Raw genomic sequence first — 13,747 nt, 5'->3', positions numbered from 1 at the left:
GGAGGCTGAGGTGGGAGGATCACTTGAGCTCAGGAGTCCAAGACCAACCTGGACAATGTGGTAAAACCCCGTCTCTACAAAAGACAACTTAGCCGGGTGCAGTGATGCATGCCTGTAGTCCCAGTTACTCAGGAGGCTGAGGTGGGAGAATGGCTTTAGCCCAGGAGGCGGAGGTAGCAGTGAGCGAAGATCACACCATTGCACTCCAGCCTGGGCAACAGAATGAGACCCTGACTCAATAAAATAAAATAACTAAATATTCATATTCATATTTTTTTCAGGAAGGAAGGCATGCTCTGTACCCTCAGCATGTAGGGGAAACACATAGATGAAGTGATAATAATTGGAATTTGTTGTGGTTCTTTGGATCATACACAGTAATGATAAACTTGATTCTCCTCTGAGCTCTGAAGGGATCTATGACTTTGTCACTTACAGCGTTATTTTCCTAGATTTGGGTCTCAGTCCAACTCAGATCAGAGGGCAGTGTCTGTATCTGGGTGAGCCTCACTCTCCTTGGGTTGTTCAATGGTTGTGTCTCTTAGTTTCCCAATACAAATATATAAATGTCTGAGATAAGTATAAATAAATTAACTCAACAGATAATTTTAACTTTAGAGCAAAGTCATTGAATGAAGAAATCACAGAATTAAATTTTGGTAAGTGAGAAGAGAAGGGAAAGAGAAGTAAACAGAGAATGACAGGGACTATGGCCAGCTTTGGCCTGTCAACTCAGCATAAGGGCCCTTGGGCGGTCAAGTGAAGTGAGGACAAAAGAGATGGCTGGGACACTCGTTTACCTGTCAGTTTTGAGGTCAGAGAGAAACCTCATCTACTTGTCAGTGTGGCTTGAGCAAGACATGGTCATTAGTATCTATGAGCTCTGACATATCTTTATGTGTTTAACATACCCAAAAAAGAAGTAACCGTTTCACCAATAGGCCCTTTCTGTTGGGTTCTTCATTTTGGTTAAGGATGTTATCTCATAGACTCATGTCTCTCCCACTGCTTGCTTATTAAATAATTTATTATAACCTGAGGATTGTACTTCTTCGTACCATCTTTCATCTGTTTCTTTCTTTTTATTCCCATTGCTAGAATCAAGTTCAGGACTTCATCACCTCTTGCCTGGATTACTGATTTGCTTTCTAACGGGAAGTCATCATCTCAATAATAACGCTGCTTTCTCTCTGATGGCATTGAGACAGATCCATTTTTTTTCTTTCTTTTTTGTTTAGATTTGCTCTAAACTTGTAATATTTTTGCTAAAAGTATCAGTGATTACCCATCGTCAGCAATAAAATTGACTGTAGACTTTTTTCTGACGTTCAAAGTCAGCCACAAAAATGCCCAATTTTTCTTTTAATATCCTTTTCCTCTATTGCTCTAAATAGTTGCCAAACTCATTGCTATTTATGAACATGCCCCACCAAATACTTGCATGGTGCAGTTTGTATCCTGATGTTGTCACAACCTGGAGTGTGCTCTTCCATTTTTCTTGCCCCAGTGCTGTGTATTTGACATGTGTTCTAGATACATTCTTTGTGAAATATTTCTGATTTTTCTAAACAAGATGCGATCAGTTTTTCCTCTGCACCATCATAACTGTGTAAACAACTTCCATGCCAGATTTTAGTTTGCTCTTTTCTATTATAGTTTTATTTTTTCTTGTTTCTCCTTTTAGACTGTAAACATATTCAGGAAAAAAAACTGTATTTTATTATTTCGTATATCTTCTATCTAGTATATGTCTCAATGCCTTGTATAAAATGGGAACTCTGTAAATGTTTGTTAGATTGAGAGTAATTTGTCACAGATCTATATATACATAAAATTGATGTAATGTACTCTTAACCACACCATCAGGAAGGAATATTTACAATGCACATAAATGTACAACTTAAAAAAAGGTATATATTGTTTTTCAAACGATCTTGGTTGATGATAGGTCTTCCCAAAGGTAGTCTATGACCTTGCTGGTTCAAATAAAATAAAATCCTCTCAAACTCATGGTTCTATTGTTTTCAAATCCTTTTATAAATATGGAAGAAAAACTTATGGAATTGCTTTGGCTCACTGAACTAGTAGAGTGACTAATTACAAAAATATATATGTGTGTACATTTATTAATTAGTGTAATATGAGTCTTTTTTCCTGTTCATTTCTACCAATTGGAAAAGTAGAAATATTTTAAAGTAAAGGGAAAGTTCTAAAAATTTCCATTATATTCTGTCTAGTAAACGGGAAATAATGTTGAAATCAAAGGTATGGAAAATACTGAAGTGCAAAATACCACAGACAATTTAGTTAATAACTGAGCTTATTAACAGAAATGAAATACATTTTATACTTTTAAAAAGATGTTAAGAGTATAACTGTGGTGAGTAATCTATGATATTTAGTGCTTTAAATTTGATTCCTAAGTAAACAGAGAGCAATTATAACAACGTCACCCATGCCCCTTTGTTGAGTTATTGTTACTAAGGTAAGGCTTTGATTTCAAATGCTGATAATATAAGGATAAGATAATATTATTCTAGAAGTTTATATCAAACATAATACATTAAATATGCACAAGTTCAGTATTGAATTATTTTGCTGTACCTAACCCACTTTATGATTACTCTTTGCTACCTAAACACAAGGACAATTTCAAGCTCTGACTTTTTTACATTTTCTGCAGTCACACTAAGTAAGAGTTGCTCCTTCCCCCTCCCTTTTGCTCAGGGTAAGATGGAGAAGGGACAAGAATGGAGACAGGAGAAATGTGTACTTTGTGGTGAATTATATTTTCTTATACAAAATAATAGAATTATATTATAAAACAGTAGGACTAGATAGAAATTATGGAGGGAGGTATGTTGTTAATTGAAAACTCCTCTATAATTATTGTAAGATGTAAACATGGAAAATCACTGTCATTACTATTGTATATATATATATTTTTTCCAGTTAGCTTTTTAGGAACATTGCATAGGCAAAATATTGTTTATAACCTACATAAATTATTTTCTAATTTTGAATACCCTAGAATAGTGGTGATCAATAACTTTTATATTCACATTGCTATTAAAATATAAATTATAGCCTTATCAATTTAGCAGTTTTCATGTATTTCCCTCTAAAAGCTTAAGTGTTTTATTATTTGGCATTCATCTAGTTATTCCTCCCCTCAAAAACCCCCATCCTTCAATAATAAACATTTTTAAAACTAACATCGACATCGCACAAGCTTTTGGAATGCTTTCTTGAAGTCTTCATTAAAGATTGTGTAAATCAGTGGATTTATAAGGGAATTGAGATACCCAAGCCATGCCAAAAAATTGGACATTTCTTCAGAAATTTTACATTTGTCACAGACATTAACAACTAATTCTTTTACAAAAAAAGGAAGCCAACATATTACAAATGCACCCAAGATTAATCCCAGGGTAGTGGCTGCTTTCCGTTCTCTTGTACCTGAGATCTTTTGCCTTCTCCAAGATTTCTCATGCTTGAATTCAGACCTGAGACTTCTCACTGTGCTATGAATTTTATCAAAGTCTGTTGATGGGTCAGATAAAGACTTTTCTAGTACATAGGATGTGGAAACTGATTTAGTGCTTTTCTCACCACTCTCCAAAAGGACTTGGCCATTCACCTCCTCCTTTGCAATCCTACTTGCTTGTCTCTTGTGGTATAATGTCTTTGCTGCTCTATATATTTTGTAGTAAAGGATCAAAATCAATGCCAGTGGGATGTAGAAAGCTCCAAATGTTGAGTAAATGGTGGAAACAATGTGGTCGTGCTTGATGATGCATTCATCATCTCTGCTAGTTCCTTGGTGCCTCCAGAATAGAGGAGGCATAGAGATAAAAACAGATATAATCCAAACTATTGTAATCATAATGCCAGCATGCTTTGGAGTCCTTTTCCTGGCATACTCAACAGCATCTGTGATTGCTCGATACCGATCCAAAGCTATAGCTGAGAGATGCAAGATGGAGCACGTGCAGCAGGTAATGTCAACACTCAGCCAAATGTCACAGACCACTTGCCCCATAATCCAGCTCTCTCTCACAATATACACAATGCTGAAGGGCATCACCAGGACAGCCACAAGAAAATCTGTGACTGCAAGGGAACAAATTAAATAATTGGCTGGATGGTGCAGCTTCCGGGTCACAATAATTGCAGCGATCACAAGGGAGTTGATAGTTGTTGTCATCAGTGCCAGCCCAGACAGAGTGAGGGACACCAGAATTTTGGATGGCATTCTGTTTAACAGTTCCTCTGAGGTCAAGTTTTGATCAGATGAATTTAAGAAATCCATTTTCTTTGTTTTAAAAGATTAATATAGCTGAAAAATGGATACCTGTAACAAGGGAAGAGAAAAAACAGTTCAGAGAAGGCTTCAAGAACTTTTCTCTTCCTTTCAGAATAATTTTTAAAAAGTGTATGTTATGTTTACCCAGAATATTCTATAGATTAAAAAAATGAGGTTCAGATTGAAGGTTTTAGTTTTCCTTTTTATTTAAGAAATTTAATGAGAACAGTAAAAAAAGCCAGTAACTTCCAAAACATTTCTTAAAATATAGGTTAAATACAACAATTTTTAATGAATACTCTAGCTTGTTACTCAGTGAAATCTCTGCCATTATAGAATTGGTTTTTCTCTTTGTCCATGTCAGAAAAAGTTTAAAAGTGTGGCAGGCCCGATCTCAATAACGCAGGCCTCCGTAACAACTGTTTCAGTACTACTGACTGACTAGTTGAGTTATATATTCAAAGCTGATAGAGCCAGTGCCCTTATTCAAAGGCTGGAATGTAACAAAGAGCCCACCAAGAGTTTTGCTTAGGCTTTTCCTAGGCTTGAAGCATGACAAAATAACAAAGGAATTCTTAACAGGATCCATTTAGGATGAACAAGTTTTATTGGGGGTCTGAAGAAACTCCACGAACAAGTTTATTGGGGTCTAAAGGAACTCCCCAAACCTTTACGATTTAGCAGGAGACAAGAAAAGGGTAATCACCCCAGCACCTAGACTCATTTAGATTAAGTAAACTTACTGAGGCTCCAGAAGAAGGCCTTCAGGACTCAGACCTCAGTTATAAATTAAAAGAAGTTAATCTTCTTTGTCTTTAGATGAATGCACACTTACATGAAGACATATAGCTTAGAAGGTATTTAAGCTCTGGAAAACTTTGTAATTTCCAGGCCTTCTCCCTGTAACTGGTTACAGAAATAAAAACTCTCTTTCTCCCCAGTTCATCTGCATCTCGTTATTGGGCTGCGAAAAATAGCAGCCTGACCCTCGGTTTGGTCTGGGAACAAAAGCACACACCATTTGTGCACTGTATGATGCAATATAAGAAAATATTATATTAAAAACTATTCAAAATAATAATTTTGTACTTAATTGAAAGTTACATTGAGAACATTATCATTAGGCTTATGGAGACTAAAGGAACTTTTAGTATATTTTATGTCAAGCTATGGAGGTTATATAAAGAGAAATAGCAAAAAAAATTAGTATATCCTTAGCATTCCATGATCATTGTATGAAATTAGGAAAATGTCAGAGTGCTTACTTGTCTTTGTGGATATAAGTAGTTAATTTGGTTTAAAAAGATAGAATAAGATTAGTTGGAATCAAATAATCGTACAACACTGCCCATTATAATAATGACAGCTATGATCAAACAAGTCCGTTACCAAAGAAACTTACTAGTAAGGACAGCCCCTAATGGCACTCACTCTGAAATGGAAATTATTCTTCTGTATAAGTCACCATTGTAATGACCGGGTTACCTTGCTTCTGAAAAAGGACTCTCCATTCATGGCTTATAAGTTTTGCTTTAGTCCATTATATTAATTACAAGTCAATTAAGAACATTTGGAGTATAATAAAATAGAATTAATATCTTTGATAAATAGCATTTTTTTAAATCAATCCTCTTCTCTCTAATAACTTTTTAGTAGTTACTAATATTTTAGGAAAGGACAATATGGAGACCTGATATTCTTAGGTAGAGCTATTACTATATTTTCATATTCCTTAAATTAATGTTAACGTAGTTCTGTTTTATTTGTTGGAACTGATAAATTAATACTTTAAAATACTTAATTTTTATATCAAGTACTTCATAAGAATATGAGTAATCATACATATAATGTGGTTAGGTATATTATAAAACACCTTGAACCAGGCCCGGTAGCTCATTCCTGTAATACCAGCACTTTGGGAGGCTGAGGCAGGGGGATCACTTGAGGTCAGGAGTTCAAGACCATCCTGGCCAACATGGTGAAACCCTGTCTCTACTAAAAATACAAAAAAAAAAAAAAATTATTGGGGCTTGGTGGCACACGCCTGTAGTCCCAGCTACTTCGGAGGTGCTTGAACTCGGGAAGTGGAGGTTGCAGTGAGCCAAAATCGTGCCACTGCACCTCAGCCTGGGCAACAGAGCGATACACCATCTCAAACAACAACAACAAGAACAACAACAAACCAAAACAAAAAACTTTGAAATGCAGCGTATTTTCTATTCTGTTCTACTTTGGGTACCAGTACTAAATTTAATTTTTAGTAACTGCTTGGGTTAACAGTACTAAATTTAATTTTTCTCTTCAGACATTCACTGAAGGCAAGTGCTGTTAAGCAAATTGAGTGGCAGAAGAAATTTGAATACCTTTCTGGTATTTGAATACCTGAAAAAGAGTGATTGTCTATTGTGTATTTGAGAAGTAGTTGCCTTTCTGTTTTTTTTTTTTATGTCAACATTTAGCCAGTTATAAAGGGCAACTAAGGCAACTCCTGGTAAAGAATGGAGGCTAAAGTCTTAGAAACTCTAAAAAAGTGGTTCTTGAATTTGGAGTGCCTCAGAATCACTTGGATGGCTTGTTAAAGCAGATTGCTGTGTCCCACCCTCTCGAGCTGGTGACTCAGCAAGTCTGGTGAGCTTGGGGCTCTAAAATCTACATTCCTAGCAAGTTCCCGGGTGATACTGATGCTGTTGGTCCAGGGAGTTAGGGTTCTGGGCATAATCAACAGGCTGTTTCTCATCTGTCTAATTTTTTTTCAATGCTGCCACATCTATGAGTTTCTCTCTCTTGACTTTTGTCCTCTGAATTTCATGCTATACAATTTTTTCAGTGTCTCTCATTTTTACATTCTTATTTCTTGGAGTTTCTTAAATTATTTTACACTGGCATATATATATAAAATACATATATACATATAATACATATATTTTATATATATATAATACATATATAATACATATATTTTATATATATAAAATACATATATAAAATACATATATATAATACATATATTTTATATATATAAAATACATATATAAAATACATATATATAATACATATATTTTATATATATAAAATATATATATAATACATATATTTTTATATATATATATATAAAATACATATATTATATATATATATATTTCCGTATTTTTATTGCTATCTTCATCCAGCTCTTGGACTTTGTGTTCTGGGTCTTTTAACTCCCCTTCTCTCATATTGTTTCTATTCTTTTCAGTTGATATGAAAGTTATGCTATGACCATATTTCCTAAAATCAGTATTGGATCACAGGACCTATGATGTAATGGTGTGCTTAGGCACCATCAGGACTGCCATTAAAATTCTTGATATATGTTTTTAGTATCAGTGAACCTCACAGTCTTTAGCTATTTTCCCTTGAAACATTTGTAGAAGGTCAATGATTACAGGTAAAATGCTTACTTCAAAACCAACAAGATGTATTAGTAACATGGTAAATTAATTAATTTCTACTTTACTTCCAATATCTCCCCTATTCCCTTATCATAAAATTTGCACTAAATATTAAATTTAAAAAACTGAATAATTTCTTAATGGGTTAATTCCTTTGGAATGGTGTTTATTTGTTTATCTATTTTATTTTATTTTATTTTATTTTTATTTTATTTTTTTGAGACAGAGTCTCACTCTGTACCCCAGGCTGGAGTACAGTGGCATGATCTTGGCTCACTGAAACTTCTGCCTCCCAGGTTCAAGCAATTCTTGTGCCTCAGCCTCCCAAGTAGCTGGAATTACAGGCACGTGTCACCACACCCGGCTAATTTTCTATATTTTTAGTAGAGACGGAGTTTCACCATGTTGGCCAGGGTGGTTCAGAACTCCTGGCCTCTGGTGATCTGCTCACCACGGCCTCCCAACGTGCTGGGATTACAGGTGTGAGCCACCATGCCCGGCCTGCAATGGTGTTTATTTAGTGTTATGGGAATTCATTTAAAAGTGCTGACAGTTTTCATAATATGAGCAAAAATAGCTTTCCATTTTAATTTGCCTGATAAACAATTTTGGCATAAGAGATCTTCCAGAGATTATTCTGAAATTACCTTTTGAATACAATTTTAAACAGGAGAAAGTGTCAGAAAGAGTTATGTGGGTTTCCATAATAAAAGTTAATTATGTAGCAAAATTGACAAGCTTAAAATTAGAAGGTGAATTGGTTGATAATTCAATGGATTTCCCTAAGCATCAAGTTGTAGCATTTAAATTAAGCTCAATAAAATGGTACCTAATGCCAAGAAAAAAATAAAAATTTTGGGTTATATTCTAGAATTATATGACAAAATTTATCTGTCACATAACTTATATTGCAGCTTTCCAGAAATCTTTTTAATGTTAAATTTAGAACTGTAATTAATCTTCTGCTAGTTGTATTTATAGACAACAAAGAAAATAGAAAAACAAAGGCAACCAATGGCGTTGGGTTTTATTTTTATTTTTCTCCTATTTCTCTTGCTATTTACAATGAGAAATGTAATAAACCATCTACCTTTATTAATTTAGACATGGCCTCTGACCAGGTGTTTTTCTGTTCCTTTATATCTTAAGTTCCTGCTGTGCATCTTCATGGTGCTAGGGACCATCTCTGGGTTACTGGACATAGAGTATGCTACATATGTCCCTCCTACTCTTAGAACATAGACTGCATTCTGTATTTGAATGTCTTCACTGGGAAAAAAATCAAGATTAGTCTGTAAGTAGAGCCTGCAGTCTCATGTGTTATATACAGCCTTCTTGATAATAACAGAGAAAGAAAACTTCCCCAGGTTTTATTCAACATGAATGTTTGCCAATTTGTTGATTTAGCTGCATGAAGCATTTACTCCTCTGCTTACTCAGTTTTTAAAATCTAATGCTTATTTATATTCAGGTGTTTGTTTGATCTTGATATCCAATTATATTGTCCTCAAGATTAAATTATTAGCTCCTAGCCGCATAGTTTAATTCATTTTATATTGTAAATAGCCTGGGATGGTTGTCATACACAAATAGTTTTTATAATAACATTGTGAAGTAAAATTCAATTCTACTGAGACCTCACGAATACCTACAAGTTGGCTGTTTTAATTAGAATAACAATAACATTCATCTTTTCTGAGTGTTTACTTCTGCATGCAATGTACTAAGTGCTTTCCATGCATTAACATGCTTAATCCTCATAACTAACCTTTGAGGTAGGTACAATTATTGTCTTTCTTTTCATAGATAAGATAACTGAAGCACAGATGTTTAATAATCTCTACAATGACAACACAACAAATAATTGGTAGAACAAATCTATTCTTTTAACCACCATTTTTCTCTCTGTAGGAGATGTATTACTGAATAGTTGTATTTCAGTCATGAGGCTTATCAAGTAACTACTTTTTCTTTGCTTTTTTTTTTTTGAGATGGAGGTTCGCTCTTGTTGCCCAGGCTGGAATACAATGGCGTGATCTCTGGCTCACCGCAACCTCTGCCTCCTGGGTTCAAGCGATTCGTCAGCCTCAGCCTCCCGAGTAGCTGGGATTACAGGCATGCGCCACCACACCCAGCTAATTTTGTATTTTTAGTAGAGAGGGGGTTTCTCCATGTTGGTCAGGGTGGTCTCAAACTCCCAACCAGAGGTGATCTGCCTGCCTCGGCCTCCCAAAGTGCTGGTATTACAGGAGTGAGCCACTGTGCCCAGCCCTCAAGTAACTACTTTTTCTATAAAATAAAGATTATGTTACAAAATGAGAAGGGTGTTCAAGTGTAAGCAAATATCCAATAAAATTAATGTTTAAGGTAGCAACCAGGTCTACATGTGTTGATTATAACAGTAGGAATGTATTCATAGTGCTTTCCAATTTTTTTACTGCCTTTTCAACTCTGAGACTTCCCTTTTGCTCTTATATTTCTTTGCTTTCATTTATTCCTTTAAGAACTTTTTTAGTGAGTGTTATTTTTGTGCTAATAAATCTGAGAGTTATAAAAATACCTCTTTTGGCTGGGTGTGGTGGTGCACGCCTGTAATCCCAGCACTTTGGGAGGCCAAGGTGGGTGGCCTGAAGTCAGGAGTTTGCAACCAGCTTGACTAACATGGTGAAACCCCGTCTCTTCTGAATACAAATAATTAGCTGGGTGTGGTGGCACATGCCTGTAATCTGAGCTACTTGGGAAGCTGAGAGAGGAGAATCACTTGTACCTGGGAGGTAGAGGTTGTAGTGAGCCAAAATCATGCCATGCGCTCCAGCTTGGGCAACAGAAGCGAAAGAGCAAAACTCTGTCTCAAAACAAAAACAAAACAAACAAACAAAAAAACCTCTTTCCTACCACCACCAAGAAAAATCTATCCCTGGACAAAACAAAACAAATCAAAACAGCAAAACAAAACAACACTTTGTACTTGTCATTAAGAAGCTAGCTTTGGCCATGAAAACTCTTAACATATAATACAATTATACAATGCAATAAGGGCATTATGGAGATATGTATAAAGTTTCCTGGAAATACTGGTGAGGGATAATTAATTAATCATAGCATGGTTAAACAGGGAAAGCCTTTGCAGGTACAGGAAAAAGTATGAGCAAAAGCAGAGGCATAAAAATGCAGGATGCATCAGACATGTGAAATCAGCAGTCTGATGTGCTACCTACTTACTGCAAAGGCACTTTAGGGCTAGAGTTGGGGGTGAGAGATGAAAATTAACTGAGGAAGACAAAGGAGGCTTGCATGCCATGGTAAGGACACCAGGTTTTATTTTGTAGGCAGTCAGAAGTCTTAGAAATGTTTAAGAAGGTAAGTGAAAGGATATCTGAGTTTTGGCAGAGTGAGGTGTGCAGGTGGCAAGGTACAGCTTGAAGAGAGTAGTGCTGCTGCTCCAGGGAAAAGGCGTAAGCAAAAAGATTAAAGAATGCTTTTGAGAATATAGCTGAAATTATAACCTTCAAAAGGTAACTGGAATAAAAATGGTCTATGTTTTTTTACTCTTCCATTAGTGCTTGAAATTTAGGGTTTATATTGCTAAGTAAAAGATAATTCAATTTATTCAGGATTGGATCAGGAATTGGGATGCAGATTGGGGTCAGAGGCCAAGGGAAAATGTTGTTGGGTGTGCTGGATCAGTACTAGTTTCATAAAACAGCAGGCCAGAGAGGGCAACAAGCTGAGAAAATAGGCCAGCATTGAGTAATTTGAGGTCCTGATGAGGTTCAGGAGCAGGTGTAAAGTGGGCTCAGGTAATGTGCAAGGATGACAAAAAGATGAGATTGCAGTTAGGTTCCGAGCCTGGGATTGTAGAGTTTTGAATTTAGGGAGTGATTCCAGGGCTGGAGTATGAAAATGTATAGGATTGCTCCATAACTCTTCTGTATCAGTGAAGACCTGCTTACTGAGAGAGATGGGAAACTCTGCAAGGCTTTTACAGCACTTCAGTCAATGGAACCTTGCCTATATTTGCCATGTATATGTATACATTTTCTTTTCCCTATTTTTTTAAATCACTGCCTGCTGGATCTGGCCTCTAGGATCCTGACATACACTTCTCAGATTTGTACACTTAACTTTTTGGCTTTGAATACTCATCTCTCCCCACCATGTCTTGCTTTAACTGTCCATGTCCAACTTAGGGGTGTGCTTGTGTTTCCTAGATGTCTGACCTATTCTTTCTTAGTTTATGAATTATGTTCCCGTTAGTTTGTCTGTTGGCTCCAATGACTTCCATCCATTTCATAAGCAAAATATATTCACGTGCTCCCCAAGCTCCCCCAGATCTCATCTAATCATGGCACCAGTCTTTGAAGTCCATGATCTCATGTATTGTATCAAGTCAAGAAACAGATGAGGCTCCTTGAGGCTGCAGTGCATCTTGACTCAGAGAGCTGTAAACTAAACAGGCGATTTATTTGTTCTCCAATCCTTTATATGTAATGGTGAGTTGAGGGCAGGATAATTGCAATAGACACCCCTATTCAAAAAGATAAGGAAATGGGAAACACATAGTGGCCACTGACCTGAAATTCACCCAGACAAATGTTATCAGAGTGCTCTCCTCTGAGGGTTAGAAATTTACCTTCACTAGGGCCCACTTCTGCTTCTGATTTGGTTCTCTAATTCACTGCACTCCACGGCTCTTGAAACGCCCTCCAGGCTCTTGACTCTGCTCTTGAAGAGATCCTGTCTGGTCTCTGGAAAGTAGTCTGGATTATAGCTAAGTAGCCTTCTTAGCCTGCTTTCTGCCTACAGAAAGTCTTTTCATTTTGAGCTCTTTCCCTTTTAGTCCAAGTTAGTATAGTTTTCTTCAAAACTTTGTGTCTCCCTATGAATCGGATTGACAGTCACTACGTGCCCCAAATGTCATATGCATAATTCTTTCCAAGACAGACTTTCTTCTTTTTCAGACTATTTCAGACTATTCTTAGACTATTAGGGCTGTGGGGCAACACCCTTAAGATTTTTAGAAGTCCCTTTCTCTAGCTTAGATATGTAGAAAATATCTGAGATATTTAAAAATATCTCGATATTTAAAAATATTTAGAAAGGGCAGGGCACAGTGGCTTATGCCTGTAATCCCAGTATTTTGGGAGGCCAAGGTGGGTGGATCACTTGAGGTCAGGAATTTGAGACCCGTCTGGTCAAAAAGGTGAAACCCCATCTCTATTAAAAATACAAAAATTAGCCAGGTGTGGTGGCAGTTGCCTGTAATCCCAGCTACTCGGAAAGCTTGGACATGAGAACTGCTTGAGGTGGAGTTGCAGTGAGCTGAGATCTGCCACTGAACTCTAGCCTGGGTGACAGGCCAGAGTGAGACATAAAAAAAAAAGAAAGAAGAAGGCATTCTTATTTTAAATGGAATTTACATATACGCACACCTCATTGCTTAAATGGATCTGGTTATTGTTTTCAAGAGACATCTGCTTGTTAGTCTGCCACACTTGAGAAAATAATTAAATTGCAACAATGACAATCTTAGAGAAAATGACACCACATTCAATGAACACACTGAAACCAGCTACAGGAGCACCTGCTATGGAAAAGAGAGGAAATACACATGTACAGACTCAGTAGGTTGTACTATTTGCTTTGTTTGACTGTTGCTGAAACCTAAAGAGAAAAGAAGTTGAGTGTGTGGGGTGGAATGTAAAGGAAGGGTGGGGAGATATGGCAGAAGTGGAGTTGTGAAGGTAATAGAAACTGATGTTTATTCCTGAGATTATGACTTCAATTAATTAAGAGACTACCAACTACTGTGAATAAAACCCACAATTGCGGCCAGGCATGGTGGCTCACACCTGTAATCCTAGCACTTTGGGAGGCTGAGGTGGGCAGATTGCTTGAGCTCAAGAGTTCGAGACTAGCGTGGGCAACACGGTGAAACCCTGTCTTTACTAAAATACAAAAAATTAGCCGGGTATGGCAGTGTGTGGCTGTAGTCCCAGCTACTCAGGAG

General features: G+C 36.5%; 1 protein-coding gene across 6 annotated transcripts in view; it reads right to left on the bottom strand.

Moving 5' to 3' along the window:
* Positions 1 to 1,222: 1,222 nt before the first annotated feature.
* HTR1F (5-hydroxytryptamine receptor 1F) overlaps positions 1,223 to 13,747 on the bottom strand; it is a 201,134-nt gene continuing 188,609 nt past the window's right edge. For 5 of the 6 annotated variants that reach the window (NM_001322208.2, NM_001322210.2, NM_001322209.2 and 2 more), the window contains exon 3: positions 1,223 to 4,354. In NM_001322208.2, coding sequence (NP_001309137.1) covers positions 3,212 to 4,312 — 1,101 coding nt within the window. In that variant the 5' untranslated portion in view covers positions 4,313 to 4,354 and the 3' untranslated portion in view covers positions 1,223 to 3,211. Of the gene's footprint in view, positions 4,355 to 12,370; positions 12,487 to 13,747 lie in introns of those variants that run through there. The other variant, NM_000866.5, reaches the window with a different exon arrangement.

Source organism: Homo sapiens, chromosome 3 (genome assembly GCF_000001405.40).
Source record: "Homo sapiens chromosome 3, GRCh38.p14 Primary Assembly".
Classification (NCBI taxonomy): domain Eukaryota; kingdom Metazoa; phylum Chordata; class Mammalia; order Primates; family Hominidae; genus Homo; species Homo sapiens.
Note: the sequence above shows the minus strand (reverse complement) of the source record. Positions and strands in the feature narration are given on the sequence as shown.